The sequence below is a fragment of the Homo sapiens genome, chromosome 15, assembly GCF_000001405.40.
Source record: "Homo sapiens chromosome 15, GRCh38.p14 Primary Assembly".
Lineage (NCBI taxonomy): Eukaryota > Metazoa > Chordata > Mammalia > Primates > Hominidae > Homo > Homo sapiens.
In genome coordinates, this window is record NC_000015.10 from 38,587,517 (window position 1) to 38,608,264 (window position 20,748).

Sequence of the window (20,748 nt, forward strand, 5' to 3'; positions counted from 1 at the left end):
TATATATGCGAGTGTTTTGGGACGGAAGTGTGGTTCTTGCTACAATCTCTTCTCCATGATTCCTTTTCTGAGGGCTTTGGGCCTTCCCTTTAAGAAATGGGGAATTATAAAATCAAGTGATTCAATCATGATTCCTTAGGTCTTTCTAACTACAAACCCAGAAGTTTTATTTATTAATTTGTTTTTGTAACAAGACTCTTAGCTTTTTATTTTACCTTTTATTCTCATGACTGAACTATTAATGGAACTGTGCTCCAGTCTCAAAATCTACTTTCAACAGCTGTGAATATTTTTCTGCAATGCAGACATAAATTCAGACATTTGCTCAGACCTGGTTAAATTAGGGAAAATTAAGACTGATATGGTCTTTTCTCTTTTGGGGATTATTTTGCCCAGTCCCTCAAGCTCCCACCCTACACCATCCTGTCCTGGAATACTCCAGACACCCAGTGTTCTCAGTATCTTTCTACCTTGTTGTTCTACCCAGCCTGCTTGCAGCTTCTGCTACAGATCTGAGCACTGAAATGAAGGATCCCTCAATTTGCCTTGCTCTCAGCAAAGGGGAAATCATATGCTAGGAAGTTCTCTGGCTCAGTGGTGCCACTTTTCTCCCTGGTCTCCAGCCCCTTTGAAAGACTCACAAGTGACACGAACTTGTATTCGTTGCTATTCCACTAGTGTCTGAATTTTCCTTTTATTCTTCCAGAACATTGGAGTACCACTTTTCATTTTATCTTCATTTAATGTGGATGCCTGGCACCTCTGCCATCCTAAGAGTACATACGAAATCCTGTCCTTACAAACACAGGCGTATACAAAAGAAGGGGTGTATGGTAAACTATCCAAGGATGCCTGTAAAACAGACTGGGCTAGAGATGAAATACAAGGAAACGCAGGCAAGCGGGATGACTTACCTAGTTTCTAGCTCTGCTAAAGCAGGAAAGGTCCAGCTTCCTGAAAAATCGTTTAACTCTGTCCACCCTGCCCTCCACCCACCGGCCCCCCTGACTTCTTCCTTTAGTGAAGGATTCTTTTCTCTGCTAAAAGCTGTATTTTTGCCCTATTGACTTGGAGGCAGCGAGTGATGAGTTGTATGAGATGGACAACTTAATATTTTGTTTGCCGTAACTTTAGTAAAGTTTAGCAGATATCCCAAACCTAGGATAGGTTTCTGAGAATCAGGGGTGGCTTTTGAATCACAATCTCAAGGCCCAACGTTTTTGGCAGATGCAGCTCTTTCTGAACAGTAAGTCATTGTTGAGTGACATGAATAGGACGAGAGCTACAGAAAATGAAGGTTTCAAAAGATTGTCTAAAACAAAAGTCCTTTCAGTCCCTTGTATTCAGAGTTTCACCCCTCACTGAACCAAAGTTGCTCATTTTGCAGGGAGAATGCACATGAAACTGTTCTGTCTGGAATCCAGGCAGTATTGCACTTTGATTGGCAGGTCAGCCACCATCTGAAGGTACTTAGTGCTCATTACTCATCAGTCCATCCAGAAGGGTAAGAAAGAAGTAACCCTTTCCTGCCGTTTGCACTTATTCTCACCTTGTCTTTCCTGAGGAGTATGGCTGTAGTTACAGATACATATCTAACAGAAAGCAGTCATATCATTCCAACAGGGAACAGAACTCAGGGAAATGGTTGCCAGTGTACCAGATTCCTTCTTTCATTTTCTTTCTTTTTACTCCTTTTGAAAGCTGTTGAGGTCTAGTTGTTTCTTAAGGAGGTTTAACTCAGATCTCAGCACTGATCTGGAGGCCAGGCAGGGTCTTATCAACTCTGGCACTGAAGTTAACCCCGTCCTGGGTGCAGCTGGGAAGGCTTAGCTCTCTGAGACCACCGAGGAACCCAAAGACATCTAAAGATGAACTGGGTACCTGCAGGAGGCGAGGGGCCTGAGAGACCCCTGGAAACATACTAGCATGAGCCTTTATAACTGACTGTCTGGAACAACACAGTTCCAGGCTTTCAGGGCCAAGGGGTGAGAAATCCCAAATCTTCCTACATTTTTCCTGATACTTTAGTAGACAGGTGCCTAATTTTTCTTAATTCACAGAGGACTTTCCCTTCCTGTTCATTGTTCATTACTCACAAGAGTCCTCCCCAAGGCACGGAGATAAGTGCTGCAGGGTGAGTCACTAACAAATTGAGAGTTGCATCACGTCTCCAAACTCCAGCTTGGCCTTCTGACCAAAAGAGTATCTAGTTTTTCTTGAAAAGATTACATCACAGGTGGTAAAGCATTTGTCTTTGCCTTTCTTCATCCCTTTTCTGTTTCCTGGTTCCTAGCAGGTATTATGTGAAAAGTCCGACTGGCCTTCCCAGAACTGATTCACATTATACAGTTTGATTTTTGCATGATCCCTCCGTGCTGAGTTATTTTGTTTCATTAAAAAGGGCAAAAGGCCACGTACTTTTAAAAAAACATGGTTACCGGCTGGGCACGGTGGCTCACGCCTGTAATCCCAGCATTTTGGGAGGCCGAGACGGGCAGATCACCTGAGGTCATAAGTTCAAGACCAGCCTGGCTAACATGGTGAAACCCTGTTTCTACTAAAAATACAAAAAATTAGCCAGGTGTGGTGGTGCACACCTGTAATCCCAGCTACTCAGGAGGCTGAGGCAGGAGAATCTCTTGAACCCGGGAGGTGGGGGTTGCAGTGAGCCGAGATCATGCCATTGCACTCCAGCTTGTGCAACAAGAGTGAAAGTCTGTCTCAAAAAAAAAAAAAAAAAAAAAGGTTACCAACATTTTCTATATCCTGGAAGTTATCCCCACTGCAACCCTTGTTCTGTGCTGCACCTGGTCTGGTGGTTTAGGGAGGCAAATGCCAGCTTGATCCCTAAGAATTTCAGTGTTGGCCTTGGATATCTCACCTTTGTTTTTTAATCTGAGACTTGGAAATATGAACCGAAAATATACTTATATTTTTACTATGAATATAAATGTCAAATATCTTCTGAATTTAATAGCTTGTTTTGTCAAGAAAACAAAATCATAAGAATGTTGATCATAAATATAGCGGATTTCTGGAGGGGCTGGCTGATCTCAGAGGTCTACTGCCTCTCTCCTTCCATCTTCTCTGAAGCTGCCTCAGCCAGGACACCCCTAAACTAGTTCCAAAAAGGGTATGGCCTGGAAAGGGATCAGGGTCCATCTTTGCTTAATTTTGACTGAGCTCTATGCTCTTCAATTAGATAAGTGACACAGTAAAATGTCACTAATCCACACTCAGTAGTTTTAGAGATTAGTAATTCCAGAGGTATGAGATGAAGCTTCTGTTTTTTAAATATATGTATGAAGAAAGGGTTTATTAAGCCTAAGCATATGATTGTGGGAGCAAATTGTTAACCTGCTAAGAAGAAGACTACCTTTGAAGATTCACATAACTTTTAAAATGCTGGGGCTGGGTACTAATTACAGATAAGTTTAGCAAAGTAGATGGGTAGCATTCTAAAAGAATCTTCAATTAATGTATGTCCTGTGAAGTTGAGAAATAAGAATACCAATACAAAATTCTGTATCCTTAAAGATATTCTATAAGTCAGACTTTAAAAACAAACAAACAAACAAAAATACCTGGCACTGGGCTTCTTTATACCAATTGGCCCAAACTTGAGAAATTTAACTAGATATCATAAGATTGTGAGGCTTGGGGTGACTGATTGGACCACAACTTTTTGAGTGCAATCTAAGAACCATTGGGATTTAGGTGTGTTGTTCTCATGTGTGGGTCTGTTTATGAGCATGTGTTTTTATGTGTTCGTAAGTGTGTGCATGTGTGCAGGTGTATGCGCTATGATATGAAGGAAGATGTTTTTCAGACCCCCAAATTCCAGCAACCAGTTTGAAGACCACACAGAGGAAGGAGATCAGTGTGAGAATACAGCTTCTTCATCTTCCCATCCCATGACTTCCCCCTGCACTCTTCAAATAATCAATGATCTCCACACTTTGGCCCACTCCAAAACCCTAACCCTGAATTCCTCAGGGAGATGGATTTGAGGTTTCTTCTCATCTCCTTGTAAACTAAAAATAAAATTCGAAGCCCCCCAACCATCTGGATGGACCCCTCCACTCGGCCACTGGAGTTCTGAAATTAACCTGAAAAACCAGTTCCCGCTGTGATGGGAAGGGGAAGCTGGACATGTCTCATTCTACCCTCCTCCCTTTTGGAATGATGAATAGAGCAGACTTTAAGTCTGATAAGAAACATTGACGATCTATTCTCTCTGCAGTCTGCTACCTGGAGGTTTCCTCTGAATAATGGGAACCATGGTCTCCACAACCCCTTATCTTAACCTGGACATTCCCTTCTATTGATTCTAGGTATTTAGACAATAACTTAACACTTTCAACCAAATGCCAATTAGAAAATCTTTGAATCCACCTCTGACTTGGAAGTTGCCCCCCAACTTCTGGTTGTCCTGCCTTTCCGGGCCAAACCAACGTACATCTTACATGTATTGATTGACGTCTTATGTCTCCCTAAAATGTATAAAGCCAAGTTGTAGTCTGACTACACTGGACACATGTTCTCAGGATCTTCTGAGGGCTGTGTCACCGGCCATTGGTCACCCATATTTGGCTCAGAATAAATCTCTTCATATATTTTACAGAGTTTGACTCTTTTTGTCAACATCCTTATTTGGTGACCCTAAGATTAAATCTCTTTCTCTGCTGTGACCTAGTGTCTCGGCATATTGACTTGCCACATGCATCAGGCAATGAACCTTCTACTGTTACAGAAGGCAGAGAAAGTGGAAGCAGAAAGCAGAATGAAAGGTTCCGGGGTGTCTATTCCAATTCTTGGTGACAAACTGGACTTGACACCTGCTGGATAGGGGTTGATGGCCAGAAATGGATGGAACCATTTAAGAAAGACTGTGCAGCTCTGAGTATGAGCATGGCTGTTTTAAGATCAAGAAAAAATGTGGCTCACAGTTATCTGTTTTTGTCAAAACCCCAGCAGAATTCTGATGTACTAGGAATGGAAGCACTGGGGCATCCAGACGTGGCAGCGTAGCATGGATGTCTTGCTGTGGCAGTGAAGAGGTCATGCAGGAGAGAAAGAATGGGTGATGCCATAGGGCAATGGCAGACCATTATCAGCACAGTGATGTCCCTTTAGAGACTGCCAGACTGCCAGGACACAATGATGTCCCTTTAGAGACTGTTCTATGACACAGATGGAGATGTTAGAGGCAAAACAAATACACCTGCATGTGTCTGTGTTCCTGTGTTCCACTTAGCAATATATTATGAACATTTTTTCCATACAAGTACTTTTCATCTGTAATATAGGAGACCTCCCAGTTTTCCATGTTTGGGGATGTAAGATTTATTCAGGCGGGTGGATCACGAGGTCAGATTGAGACCATCCTGGCTAACCCAGTGAAGCCCCGTCTCTACTAAAAATACAAAAAAATTAGCCGGGAAAGGTGGCGGGCGCCTGTAGTCCCAGCTACTTGGGAGGCTGAGGCAGGAGAATGGCGTGAACCTGGGAGGCAGAGCTTGCAGTGAGCCAAGATCGCGCCATTGCACTCCAGCCTGGGCGATAGAGTGAGACTCCATCTCAAAAAAAAAAAAAAAAAAAAAAAAAAGATTTATTCAACTACTCCTCTTTCTTGCTGGTGCTTCCATTATTTTTTTCTCTACTGTAAAGCATTGTGTGATGAACATTCTTGAAACATTCACAAATCCATAATTATTTTCTTAGGACTAACTTACCTGAAAGTGGAATTGTTGGATCTAAAGAGGACAGGAATTATTCTGAGGCTTTTGAAGTGTAAAGGACAGTTTCCTTATATGTAAAATGAAAGGGTAAGATTAAAGTGGGTAGCTTTCAAGACTTTTTTTTCCCCTTTTTGTCAGTAGACTCTTCTAGCAGAAACTTCTGCAGAAACCCAGGAAATAAATGGATCAGAGGTGAACACACTCTGGTGGAGTGGGGCTGGGCCCGTTTTCTTCTGCCTTCCCTCCCTTTCTGCTGCCAGGGGCTCTAAGGGACATCCAGGTCTCAGAGGCACATAGTTTGCAAATCACAGGGCAAGGTGACCTTACATTCTTTTCCACCTGTGTTTGCTATCAGTCACTTTTACTGAACTGCTGGCCGTCTAGACAGGTCTGGCCACTGGGTCCTTTGGAGATCCCTATCACTGGATCCCTGCCACTGCCCCTTCCTAAGTGGTCAGTAAGTACTTGTTAATCTTAGATAGCAGCCATTTGACAACACATCAAAAGCAGGAGGGCTCCAGTGGGTAAACTTGAAACGGAAGAAACTGGACCACACCCAGTGGTGGGAGATGACCCAGGAGCCTGGACATGGCGATGAATTTCGGGAATTTTTATGACTCAGAACTTGGGGAATGTAGACATTATGTAATTAAAAAATGTAATTTAAAATATATGGGTAGTTTTGAGAATATGAAAGCTCTTCTTTTTGTAGATGAGAAAATGGAAACAAGACAAGGTAAAGGACTCACCCCAGGTCACACAGTAACTTAGTGGCATCATCAGGCATCATGACAACTACAAAACGCTCTTTTGCTTTTACAATTTTGAATATTTCCCTGCTTTCTCTAAAGAGAAAAGGATGGGGGGCGGACGAATGAGAAACTAACACTTAAAACATAAATTATGTGCCAGACAATGATCTAGATGCCTTCCTTATACTTATTTTTTTAACCCTGTTAAGATGGGAGCCTTGTGCTGTCTGGCACACAAGAACTTTGCCTCAGAAGTTCAGTCCTGGGTCCACAGGCACCCAGCAGTGATTGACAATGCTGTGATTTGGAATCCATCTCTGACTCCAAAGAACATCCTTTCCCAACTTAGTTCTGTTTTATTAACGTAGAAAGGTACCTAATGCCTAAATGTTAGAAAGCAAAGAAATCTGGGAAGTAACTTTAAGTAAATGATGCTGAACAAGAACCAAAACCTGTCAACAGACAAGTCTTTAAATAGGATAGGGACATTAGTTTGATTCAGACACATCAATGTAGGAAAAAAATATGACCCCAAACCCTGCCCAGAGCATGTCCTTGGAGGTCCTTTCTTGGCATGAAAGTTGGTGCTATAGGAAATGGTGTAAGATGTAAAGAGAAACCCTCTTCCTTCCTCAAGTCATATTCCTCAGGAAATACCATCTAGTGTCCAGTATTCTAAAGTCTTTGACTGGGAAACCCAGGACACTTTTCACAAGAATGTGAAGTTTAGGTCCACATCTCCAGAGTCATTTGGAAGATGTGGGCACCCATAGAGCAGGCCTGGGAATATAATCTTTAGGGAGCTAAGGAGATGTGAGAAATGAGGATATGTGCGTTGGTACCTTGAGTTCGAACTCTAGCACCAAACTTCATCCAATCCAAATCTGCAGAAGGAGGTTTTGACATGATTTGGGAGTGGGAGGGGGATTCTAGGCCTTGTCCACCAAGATTAAACTTCTTTTTGCAGTTCATAACACTACAGACCGAACGAACGGGCAGTAGGTATAAGGCTATTAGGATCATTAAGAGTTTACTGATGGAATTGGGCTTCCCTTGCACAAAGTTGTATGACTCATGAAGTCCATTGCAATGCAGCACAAGAGCCCATGGTTTCATGAGTGAAGCAGCCTTCACAGTCTCTCTCCTAAAACTGAATGTGGCTGGACCTCTGCAATGCTTTGTCACTTCTCTAACTAGTGGATACCAAAACTGCTTCCCTTTGCCCAGATCATATAAAAGTAGCTTTTTATTCCTGGAAACTACAAGCTGCCACACCAGTCTGGGGTACCCTTCATTGCCTCCCTACACTCACACCTGCCCCAAGCCCAGGCCCTGTCGGTGGCCTTCCTGATGTCCCCTGTGTTGTCTTTCCCTATGCTCAGTGCATTGATCTTTTCCCTCCTCTGTGATGCCATTGAGAGTGTCACTAGCTGCTCTCTCATATTGTTCTCGTTTTTCTTGTGTGTTAATCCCATTGAACCTAAAACCCATACATTTCTTGAAATTAGGGAAGGGATGAGGTGATGCATTTGACTAACATCAGTGTAGTAAATCTGACAGAATGAGTACCTGGGAATCAGACTTTGAAGTCAGATGGTCTGAGTTTGAATGTAGACTCTGCCTTGGTCAAGTTGCTTAACCCATCTGTGCTTCAGTGTCCTCATCTATAAGATGAGCATGATATGTCCCAGAGATTCTGGTATGTTGTGTCTTTGTTCTCGTTGGTTTCAAAGAACGTCTTTATTTCTGCCTTCATTTCATTATGTACCCAGTAGTCATTCAGGAGCAGGTTGTTCAGTTTCCATGTAGTTGAACGGTTTTGAGTGAGTTTCTTAATCCTGAGTTCTAGTTTGATTGCACTGTGGTCTGAGAGACAGTTTGTTATAATTTCTGTTCTTTTACATTTGCTGAGGAGAGCTTTACTTCCAACTATGTGGTCAGTTTTGGAATAAGTGCGGTGTGGTGCTGAGAAGAATGTATATTCTGTTGATTTGGGATGGAGAGTTATGCAAATGTCTATTAGGTCCACTTGGTGCAGAGCTGAGTTCAATTCCTGGCTATCCTTGTTAACTTTCTATCTCCTTGATCTGTCTAATGTTGACAGTGGGGTGTTAAAGTCTCCCATTATTATTGTGTGGGAGTCTAAGTCTCTTTGTAGGTCTCTAAGGACTTGCTTTATGAATCTGGGTGCTCCTGTATTGGGTGCATATATATTTAAGATAGTTAGCTCTTCTTGCTGAATTGATCCCTTTACCATTATGTAATGGCCTTCTTTGTCTCTTTTGATCTTTGTTGGTTTAAAATCTGTTTTATCAGAGACTAGGATTGCAACCCCTGCCTTTTTTTGTTTTCCATTTGCTTGGTAGATCTTCCTCCACCCCTTTATTTTGAGCCTATGTGTGTCTCTGCACCTGAGATGGGAAACTAGTTCAACCATTGTGGAAGTCAGTGTGGCGATTCCTCAGGGATCTAGAACTAGGAATACCATTTGACCCAGCCATCCCATTACTGGGTATATACCTAAAGGATTATAATTCATGCTGCTATAAAGACACATGCACACATGTTTATTGCGGCACTATTCACAATAGCAAAGACTTGCAACCAACCCAAATGTCCAACAATGATAGACTGGATTAAGAAAATGTGGCACATATACACCATGGAATACTATGCAGCCATAAAAAATGATGAGTTCATGTCCTTTGTAGGGACATGGATGAAGCTGGAAATCATCATTCTCAGCAAACTATCGCAAGGACAAAAAACCAAACACTGCATGTTCTCACTCATAGGTGGGAATTGAACAATGAGAACACATGGACACAGGAAGGGGAACATCACACACCGGGGCCTGTTGTTGGGTGGGGGGAGGGGGGAGGGATAGCATTAGGAGATATACCTAATGTAAATGACAAGTTAATGGGTGCAGCACTCCAGCATGGCATATGTATACATATGTAACAAACCTACACGTTGTGTACATGTACCCTAAAACTTAAAGTAAAATAAAAAAAAAATAAAAAAAAAAGATGAGCATGATAATGGTTCCTACCCCACAGAGTATTAATTAAACTAGATAACTCATCTAAAGTGCCTACCACATTATACATCCTCCAAAATGTCAGCTGCTATTATTATCCTCACAGTCAGACGCTGTGGTAGGCCATTTTCATTCATGGTCTCATCTATTCATCACAAGAGTTCGGTGGGCAGTGTAGGAGACAGCATTGGGTGCCTACACACCAGCCAGCTACTGCTCCATCCCTGTTGGCAGAGTCCTGCTCTCGTTTAGGTATTTGTCTTCTTCCCTATCCCCTGGTCGACATGGAAGGTGATTCTCTCCTCAGCCCAGGGGAAAGTACTGAATAGTCTAAGCCAATCATGTAACCTCTTACCAGTGATTGGTTCAGAGGTGGTCATGTGACATAGTATCAGCTAATGAAGTAGGAGGAGAAGCTTGGTCTGGTACCTGGTTGGGAAGCAGGGAAGGTTTCCTCACTGATACAAATGAGGCATGCAGGAAGACATCCTTCTTCCTTCCCCTGGACCTTGCGGTGTTTGGACATTTGCCTGGAATTGCCATGCTGTAAAGGAAGCCAACACAGAGGGAGAGGGGTAGAGCCTAGAGAACAGATGCAGGCCCCAATTACCTGGCATACCTGTGCTCATACTTGAGCACTTTCTGTTATGTAAAATGGGATGTCCCATGATTGTGTTAAAGCTCTTGAGTCATGCTTTTTCTGTAACTTACAGTCCCCACAAAAGCATCCTAACCAATGTAGTTAATTATTTTGCTCCCTGTGTTCCAGATGAAAAATTGAACCTCAAAGAGATTTACAGTATTTACTCCAAGAGTTAAACAGATAGCAAGTGGCCAGAAAAAGTAGAGTCTTTTTTTTTTTTTTTCTGAGGTCGGGTCTCTGTCTGTCACCCAGGCTGGAGTGCAGTGGTGCAATCATGGCTCACTGCAGGCTTGACCTCTATGCTCCCACCTCAGCCTCAAGAGTAACTGAGACTACAGGAGCACACCACCACACCTGTCTAAATTTTAAATTTTTGGTAGAGACAGGGTCTCACTGTATTGCCCAGGCTGGTCTCAAACTCCTGAGCTCAAGCAGTCTTCCCTCCTCAGCCTCCCAAAGTGCTAGGATTACAGGCATCAGCCATGGTGCCCTGCCCAAAGCAAAATCTTCTTATACATCCCCTCTGGCCTCTAGTGCCCAGGGCATCATAGAATGAATACTCGTTTAATAAATAGGCAGTGTCTCAGAAACTCATATGCTCACCAAGCTGTGTTACCCCAGGGCAGTGTAATAGCTGTGCTGCAAGGTGCGCTGAAAAATGCCATGCTTCAGCCACTTTTAATGACTTTCCAACTCCTCGATATGCGTGGTGAGTCTCATGAATTCTCTAAAAAGCAAGAAGAGTGATTATCTAAAGTGATTTTCATTGCTGGGGCACACTTCAACACACTCAGCTTCATGACAAGTAACACTTGCTCTTTATTTAAATAACAGGCTTTGGTTTGGTAGTTACCACTTCTTAATGTCATCCTCTTTTAAAAAGATGATATTTATACTAAATGCTTAAGAAATCTAGTTCTTCTTTGCCACAGCAAGTGGTGCTGAATTGATCTCAGGATTTAGTTCCAGTCCAAGAAAGTCACCAACTTGGAGGTCTGGGAGGAAAGCTTGAGGTGGGGTATATAAGAACAAGATAAAATGGGGATGGGAGGAAAGATGTTCTAGCTTTTTCTTCCCTGAGAGGCCTATGCCCTGTTTTAGTAGATGTCTTTCTGATTTTTATCAGGGGAAGAAGTATTAAAATGCACATTTAATTGTACTGACAGCTAACCAAAGGAAAAATACTTTAGAATGACATACTGCATAGTTACAGAGACACGGTTGAGTTCCCTTCCTTTCTTGCACTTGCCTCATACAGTTCTGTACCAGCCAAGCTCAGTCCTCACCAAACCTGCACCTGGGCAGAACTTCAAGGGCAGTGAACTTGACTGATAATGGCCAAGGGAGGGAGTAATGGGCCAGTGACTTAAGATTGTAACGGGGCAACTGCCCCTCAGTATTATACCCATGATTGCCCAATTAATTGTTAAACTCTCTTGCTATCTTTTCTTTTCTCCTTTTTTTGTTTTTGACAGATATTCTCTCTTGTTGCCCAAGCTGCAGTGCAATGGCATGATCTCGGCTCGCTGCAGCCTCCGCCTCCTGAGTTCAAGTGATTCTCCTGCCTCAGCCTCCTGAGCTGGATTACAGGCGCCTGCCACCATGCCTAGCTAATTTTTGTATTTTTAGTAGAGACAGGGTTTCACTATGTTGGCCAGGCTGGTCTCTAACTCCTGATCTCAGGTGATCCACTCACCTCGGCCTCCCAAAGTGCTGGGATTACAGGCATGAGCCACCACGCCCAGCCCTCTCTTCCTATCTTAAGGAAATCATAGGAGAGAAGCCAATAATAATAAGGGTGATAGTTACTGAGCACTTATGACACACCAGGCTCTGTTTAAGACCCAGTACGTGCACTATTATTTGAATTCTCACAAGCTGTGTTAAACCATCACTCTTCCTTTAATAAGTATAATTCTTACAATAATAATAGTAGCTATGTAGGAGAGAAAACATAATTTTCTCTCTACTCTTCTTAACTGGGACTCCCTGTAACAAAAGACAGATTAACAAGAAAAAAACAAACAGAAGTTTATGAACATGTATACCTCATGTATACATGGGAGAAAACCCAGAGAAATAGGTAAATCTCTAGAGTAGATCTCAAAGAAAGCATTTAAGTCTTAAATACAGTCATTCTATGAAAGAAGGGTGTGTGTGTTTGTTGTGGGGGAAAGCCTGGTTAAGACAAGATGGCCAGGGAAAGGACCCTAAAACAGGGTACGGTTTGTTATCCAGATTTAAGTCCATGCCTTCTCCATCCACTGGTTAACAATCTTTAGTGATTTAGCAGAGGGAGACACACTTACAAATGGAGATTTTCTTTATAAATGTAAATTTCTCTTACAAAATGGTAACTTTTCAGAGCCACTTCTTTGTCTTCAGTTTCTCAAAATAACCAGCTCAAAATCATCAATATGCCAAAGAGGCATATTTTGGAGTGGCATATTCTGGTCTCCTACAGTCATATTTTGGGGTGGTATATCCTGAGCCCCATCAGAATTATTATAGACTACAAAACTCAGGCACAGAAAGGATATGTAACTTACCCAGGGTTTCGAGGCTAGAAAGTGACAAAGTTAGAATTTAAATCCTGGTATTCTGGGTCCAGAATTCAGCTTTAATCATCACCCTCTAGTGCCTTAATAGCCAAAATAATTCATGAGAAGGAACAGATGGTTTGAAAATGGGAGACAGATGGTGAAAAGCAAAACACTTTTATCAAGCTGGTTGCATTTCTCCACCTTAACTGTGCCTGACAGGCAGCAGAGCATGGTGGGAAGGGCCTGCACAGTGGAATATCTGGAGCCCAGTCTGGCTCTACCCTGACTAGTTTTTAAGTGAGGCCCACAGAGGATGAGCAGCATGCTCCCTTCTTTTTGATATTTGGACTAAAATATAATGACTTACAAACTATGGAATACATAAGCATCGCCAACTAATTAAGAATCTTTAGAAGTGGGCAACAGGAGTCCACATTTTTAACAAGCTCTACAGGTGATTCTGATGCAGGTGGTCTATGGACCATGCTTGGAAACCAGATGGTCTTTGGGTCTCCTTTCTGTTTCTTATTTAATGACACCAGGCTATAGTCACACCTCCACATCTGTGAGTTCCACATTCACAGATTCAACCAATTGGGAATGGAAAATATTAAAAAAAAAACAATAAAAAATAAGGCAAATAAGACAATACAGTATAACAATAATTTGCATTTAAATTATATTAAGCATTTAAAATATATTAAGTATTATAAGTAATCTAGAGATGATTTAAAGTATCCTGGAGGATGTATGTAGGTTATATGCAAATACCATGCCATTTTATATCAGGGACTTGAGCATCCTTGAATTTTGGTATCCGAGGTGTGTTGGAGAGGGGGTCCTGGAGCCAGTCCTCTGCAGATACTAAGGGATGACTGGTACTTGCCTTTGTGGTGCTATTTCTCATCTGCTTTTGTCTGTAGATGGGCATCAGAGGTAGTGGCAAGCAAGGCGTGGAGTCAGGCAATTGGATGACAATGGGCCACTCACTACTCACTGCCTCCAGCCCTGTTTTTCTTTTTTTTTTTTACACAAAGTAGGGTTAAAGGAAACAAATAGTAATAGAAGAGGCATAGGATGGAATGCTCGGGTAAAGTCGGTGTCCACCCCCTGTTCATTATAGCCATGTTCTGGTCCATGCTGATATGTGTGAGTTAATGATATTGCAGAGAAAAGGTGCAATCTGAAGAGTCCAAAATTCTCAAGTAACTTATGTCATATCAGTGAGAATTCTCTTTTGCTTTTTTCATTTTAGTTTTCCCCACCCCTTTCGTTAGGAAGATTTTGTCCAAGCTCTCCTAGTTTAGGTGTAGCATACATGTGAAGATATGCCCGGCTCGTACACAGACCTTGCTGGCTGAGCTTTTCAGGTAGGCCATGTGCAGCCTCAGTGCCCCAGGGAGTCTCTACCAAAGATGGTTCATGAGATCCTAGTCCCCTCACAAGGAACTTTGAAACACTTTGTCTATTTACTTGCAAACTTGCATCTTTTTGGGAGCCAGAATGGTCTGGCATCTGCTCTAATTTTTGGGTCACACTCAAGAGCAGAGGAGTGAGGGAGGATTTTAATGTTAGTTACCATATTGTGGAATTCCTACTGTCAGAGAATAAGTTTTTAAAAAACATAAAATCATGACTCTCATATGATGGAGTTTAGGATGTACTATCCCAAATATGGCCCCTTGGGATCTGAGAAGACAGCAGAAGCAGAAAGGCCACTTTCCCCTTCCCCTTGCCCTTCTCCCGTGAGGTACATTATAAAACCTAGGAAGGCCACTCTCTAACCTTTTTCCCTGAAGCAGTTCATAAGACCCTCATTCCAGAGGGGCCCTCCTTATACTTGGAAGAAAAGAACACCCTTATCTCTGAAGACACAGGGACACAGACAAGAATCTGACCAAACAGGCCTGGCTATGTTCCTCCCAGTCCATTACCGTTAGGTAATGGTCACACTGTTATCGTTAGGTCACACTCCTTTTGTCCAATTTACACTTTCCCATGACTGTCGACTCTTCATCAAACAGCATAAAAATACACAGGTTTTCTTGTTTCTTTGAGTCTTCATTTCTGAAGGCTCTCGTGTCATCTAAAACTTGTATTAAATAAACGTGTATTAAACAAATGTCTTTGTTATGGGGCCCTCAGCCATAAACCTGAGGGAAATAAAAGTTGGGGAAAAATATTTCTTTTCCCCTACACATGCAAATATAGAATGCACACATGTCAAATGTTTTACTTAACTCATTAAGATTGAGAGGACAAGGCTGGGCGCGGTGGCTCAGGCCTCTAATCCCAGCACTTTGGGAGGCTGAGGCGGGCAGATCATGAGGTCAGGAGATCGAGACCATCCTGGCTAACACGGTGAAACCCTGTCTCTACTAAAAATGCAAAAAATTAGCCGGGCGTGGTGGCGGGCGCCTGTAGTCCCAGCTCTTCAGGAGGCTGAGGCAGGAGAATGGAGTGAACCCAGGAGGTGGAGCTTGCAGTGAGTCGAGATCGCGCCACTGCACTCCAGCCTGGGCGACAGAGTGAGACTGTCTCAAAAAAAAAAAGATTGAGAAGACTGTAGGATTTTATAACCAGTGCAAGGGAAAATCCAAAGACTAGTCATTTCTATAGAGAATCAGGAATGCTGAAATTAATTTACTACTCCATGCAAAAACAGCCTGTGCCACAAGGTAGAAATCAATGGGTAACTTTACAGGATAAAATTGATTTGCTTTTTTACAAATGGGAATCATCCCTATTTAGTTCTCCACAAGTTAATGTCTATCTCTACAGAGATGCAAAATAGTCGATGGCAAAGAAAAGCACAGACCTCTATAGAATCAGACAGCCCTGCTCCAGACAATGTCTAGCATTCAGTTGAAAGAACATCCATTAATCTTTTTGCTCATTTCAACATTTTTTCAGTTTTTCCTAACCCTGCTGTGTGCTTAAATCTGCGGGACTGCTAAACATGCTTTGTCTGAAATCATGGCGGGAAGGACTTCATAGCACTACTTGGCCTCTTACAATAGGGACATATTGAAAACCAGTTAAAAAGCATTAAATATTCCCCTGGATGAAGAAACGATCAAAGATGAGAAGCTGAAACAGCCCATGCGGGAAGCAGATTTGCTTTACTGAGGCAGCCCGAAGCTGGAATCTGCATTGCTTGCTTTGGCTTTCCTGCCTCCTGCCTCTCCTGGAGTGCTGCCCTCGGCTGGGCCCACTGAGACCTAGCAGCAACAACTGGGACCCCAGATGATTGATTGCTCTGTTTTGCCTTTCTCCTTGTGGGAGACCAGAATAGGTCACCTCCTAAGATGAAGGATGTTTTAGCTGAAGACAGTTAAAAAATACTCAGATGAAGGAAAGCTCTTTGCCCTCCCTCTATTTGTCTAAAAGCAGGACACAGATTTCCAAAGACAAATGGTATCCCACCTACCCTCTCTACCAGTGAGAACAAAGGTTAACCACTGTTAAATTAAATTAAATCTGGCCTGAGGATGGCTCTGGACTTTGAGTCTCTATGTAAAGAACCGCAACCTAATTTAGTACAGGAACTACCTGAAAGTCTAATTTAGGTTTACACTTCGGTAACATAAAGCAGTCTCAGCCAATCACTGTAGCAGAGCATCAGTCAATTGCAGATGTAACCAATCAAGCTGTTTCTGTAGCTTACTTGGGTCTTCTGTCTGTAAATGCTGCCTGCCCACTTTGTGAAGTGGAACTTTCTGAATGTCTCCTGGTTCTGAGGGCTGCCCGATTTACAAACCGTTCTGAGATGGTACCCCACAAATCTACATGACTGCGCTTTGCTAACTAGCCTTTACTGCCTTTGATTTGCCTGCCCCCAAGTTGCTGCCCCTAGAGAGTTGAAGTCCTTTTACTCTGTCTTGTCACTTCTCTAAAAATTTACTATTCCTTGTTGAAGATGCTCTATAAGCTGGAATTCAAAGCCACCTCTTTGAGAGCTACTCATCCCCTTGGTATCTCCCATGTACATAGGAAATGTATATGTTAATAGACTTCCGTTTGTTTTTTTCTTGTTATAGGGGTCCATTTCAACTAATAACCTATGGGAGTTGAAGAAAAAATTATTCTTTCTCTATACCCAGCACCCAAGACTTTCTCAGGGAGTTCCAAGAAGAAAAAAGAAAAAAAAAAAGAATGGTCCTCCGCTTATCCTCACTTGTCCCAGAGATCAAAAATAAAAAGGGAGGCAGTGTTTAGAACTCCAGCTTTCCGATCATTAACTTGCCCCAATCTTTTCTTTCTTTTCTGTCTCTCTTTCTTACCCAGGCTGGAGGGCAGTGGCTTGATAACAGCTCACTGCAGCCTCGAACTCCCAGGCTCAAGCATTCCTCCCAGCTCAGCCTCCTTAGTAGCTGGGATTACAAGTGCATGCCACCACATTCAGCTAATTTTTGTTGGTTTGTTTTTGATAGAGATGCAGTCTTTTGCTGTATTGCAAAGGCTGGTCTCGAATTTCTGGGTGCAAGCAGTGATTCTCCTGTCTCAGCCTTCCAATGTGCTGGGATTACAGGACTGAGCCACTCTACCCAGTCCTCATTTTCTTAGAAAATGAAAAACACTATGGAGAATGCCAGAGGGCAACCTGGTTTGTGCGTGTGTGCGTGCGTGTGTGTCGGGGGGGCATATGGGTGTGGGCGTGGGTGTGAGTGTTGACAAAGATTCCCTCCTGGACCAAACTTTACTCAAGATCCTCAGCCCTCTTCTGGATTACACTTCAGCCTTGTCTTGATACCACACCCAGTTTTAGTAAGAATACAGTTTAGCCAGAATCCCTTCACCCTTGATATCTGATCACCTCTGACTGCTGATCAAATTCCTCATCCCCAGCCTTTGATGCGTAAGTCCTCGGCCTGCCCTCAGCAAGAATCCTGTGAAGTTGGGTTAGCAAGAATCTCTCTGCTTTAGCTGTCTCCTCTTAGTAATTTTCCATCCACTGATATCCTCCCCCTGCTCCTTGGCTATAAATTTCTACTTGTCCATTTATTTGGAGTTGAGCCTGATCTGTTTCCTCTATTGTAATATCTCTCAATTCAGTGGCCTTGAATAAAGTCTTCCTTACCATTTTAACAAATGTCCAAATAATTTTTTTTAACTGTGTGGTTGTGTGTGCATGTGTGCGTGCAAGAGGGAGGACCTTTTTCAGAGGGGTAATACCTCTCAGTGACGGGGACACAAGGACAAAGAGACTGGCAGGAAAAAGTAAAGTAGCGCCAGTTCTCCTATTCACTATATTAGCTATATAGGGAATTTACCTTTCTCCTCCTCTGTTTTCTAATCTGTAAAATGGAGATAATCATACCTATTGCATAGCATTGTTATGTGAACTTACTAATGTCTATTAACATTAATTATATTTATATAATATATATACACTAAAACATTTTAAAACTTCTGTACGTTTTACATTTGTTTTTGTTTGTTAAATTGCAATATTTATTATTCAGAAGTTTTATTATTAACCTTTGCGAAAAGTACCATCTTTAACCTAAGTAGAGTGATAAAAAAAATGGTACAAAGAACATTACAAGCAGCTAAGGGGGGAATCATCTGAGTAGGGTGCTTTTTTCTGCCTTGGGTTGTTAAAAACCTCAAGGAAGAATCCTTTACTTGGTAACATCTAGAAAGTTAATTTTGCTCTTTCTCAGAGCAAGAGAGAAAAGAGATGACTGAATGCCGATTTCCCAAGAGGTGACTCAACAGTGCTCAGTGTTAGCCACATTGTTCTGACTAAAACAATGGAGTGGGTGGTCTGTGCTCCGGGACCCCAGTCCTCAGACTGCTGTTTTCCCTGGGAGGAACTGCAGCGTGCACTGTCTCCCAGGAAAATAACTGATGGAGACAATGAGGGCAGGGAAGGTGGGAACAGTGGAGTGGCCCAGCTGACCCTCTGGAAGGCGTTAACTCACCTCTGCTCTGGAGAAACCCTCCTGGAATAAATGTGTTCCCTGTTCTTGAGAGAAGGCTGGGCCACTAAGGAAGTGGCTATCTGCAGCCTTGGGGCCAGAGGAGAGGCTCGCCTATGCCCTCTAGGTCACATTGTCTTAACCTTCAGGATTGTTTCCTGGAAAAATTCTCTGATGGTAAAGAAGAAACCTGAGAGAGGAGAACCTGAGGAAAAGAAAAGTCTCTGGGAAGCCTAAGCCCTTTGGAATCATGTGTAGCAAGGAAGCACGTGTGTTTCCCCAAGTGAGTGTAGGGGAGAAAAAGTAATATATTTTCTTCACCCATCACAAGATTCATGGTTGAGACTCCTGTAACAAAAGACAGATTAATGATAGAAGAGCATGCACATTTATTTGATATGTGACACAGGAATCTTCAGAAATAAAGACTCAAAGAAACAGGGAGAGCTGCGTATTTTTATGCTTAGGTTTGACGAAGAGTAGACAGTCATGTAGAGGTGTGATCAGACAAAGGGGATGTGACCTAATGGTAACGAACTGGGGGAAACTCAGCAGGCCTGTTTGTTCTGATACTTCTTGGAGTCTCTGTGTCTTCCACTCCTTTTCCCCAGGTATAGGGAGGACCCCTCTGGAATGAGAATCTTATGACCTACTTCAGGGAGCATCAGCTAGATTTTATGGCCGGCTTCAGGGGAGAAGGGAGGCAGAAAGTGAGAGTGGCCTTTCTGCTTCTGCGGCTTCCTTGATTGCCAAGGTGCCATATTTTGGGATAGCATGTCCTGAACTGCATGATCGGATACATGTGCAATAAATTGGCAGTTTGGTCTGATGAATTTAATATGGATGTAAACGTGTGCAGTCAAGGAGAGTCAAAAGTCAAATTCTTTCAGGGAAAGGAACATAAACTGGGGAGGTAGTTAGCTGTGGAGCCACAGCCACTGATAAGAAGGTGTAAAAAAGTAGTTTGATGAAGAAAGGGCTCACTCACTCTGTTTGTGCTGTGGATTTCATTTGGTTGGTTAATTAATCCTTGATAAAGGTTTTTCTAAGGCACATGCTTTCCTTTCCCTTCTCTTTTAATGCTGCCAGTCATTGTTCCTGGCAACCACAGGGTGACCAATTTTCCACTTTTTTTTTTTTTGAGATGGAGTCTTGCTCTGTCACCCAGGCTGGAGTGCAGTGGCATGATGTTGGTTCACTGCAATCTCCGCCTCCCAGGTTCAAGTGATTCTCCTGCCTCAGCCTCTGGAGCAGCTGGGACTACAGGTGTGCCACGCCATGCCACCACGCCCAGCTAATTTTTGTATTTTTAGTAGAGACGGGGTTTCACCATATTGGCCAGGCTGGTCTTGAACTCGTGACCTCGTGACCCACCCGCCTTGGCCTCCCAAAGTTCTGGGATTACAGGCATGAGCCACCGCGCCCAGCCTCCACTTTCTATATCAGATGTTGATCTCCAGAAAGCCAAAGATTTATCCCTGAAGATTAGAGAAAGTTCTCTTTGTGGGGAAAGCTACAGATGAGGAACAGAAAAAAAAAATATCTTACTCCTCATGCCACTGACATAACCCTAGATAAACGAAAAGCTATGTAGGTGGAGAGAAAGAATGAAGTATGAAGGCCACCTGGAGTTCCTGTAGGCCATGGGGAGGGTAGAGGTAGAAACTCTATTTCTATATTAATCTGCTCTTCTAAAACCTGCTTCAGTTCTTTAAAGTTTCATCTCTCCTTATATGCTTTCTAATAGTTAACTGGATGTCCAGAAATTATACTTAGAATTAGTATTGCTTTTAGAAATTAGTTTGGGTTTAAGAAACTGGGAATTAGGCAAGGTAGAGTGAGGCATAATTCTTTAGTTAATTTACTCATGTCACCTAATAATTCTTTTTAACACAGTCTCAAATGTTTTCCAAAGAATATGCCTCTGTGTAATATTAATAAATAATGCCTACAGAGTTTTATGCTCATATAAGTTTGAGGAATACAGAGCTAATATAAGTTATTTGGGTTTCTTTATGATACGATTGCTGAGAGCCTTTAATAAACTAATGTGCATTGTAAATCAAGATGGGCTGCATGGTGAGCAGTGGGTCCCAAGCTTT

At 42.5% G+C, this 20,748-nt stretch overlaps 1 annotated feature.

The window, feature by feature from the left end:
• Nucleotides 5,804–7,003: an enhancer, noted in NCBI's record as "P300/CBP strongly-dependent group 1 enhancer chr15:38885521-38886720 (GRCh37/hg19 assembly coordinates)". NCBI's record gives its function as "activates an origin of replication core promoter dependent on BRD2, BRD4, P300/CBP, MED14 and CDK7 cofactors, with strong dependence on P300/CBP, by STARR-seq in HCT116 cells {active_cell/tissue: HCT116}" and the evidence as "EXISTENCE:reporter gene assay evidence [ECO:0000049][PMID:35650434]".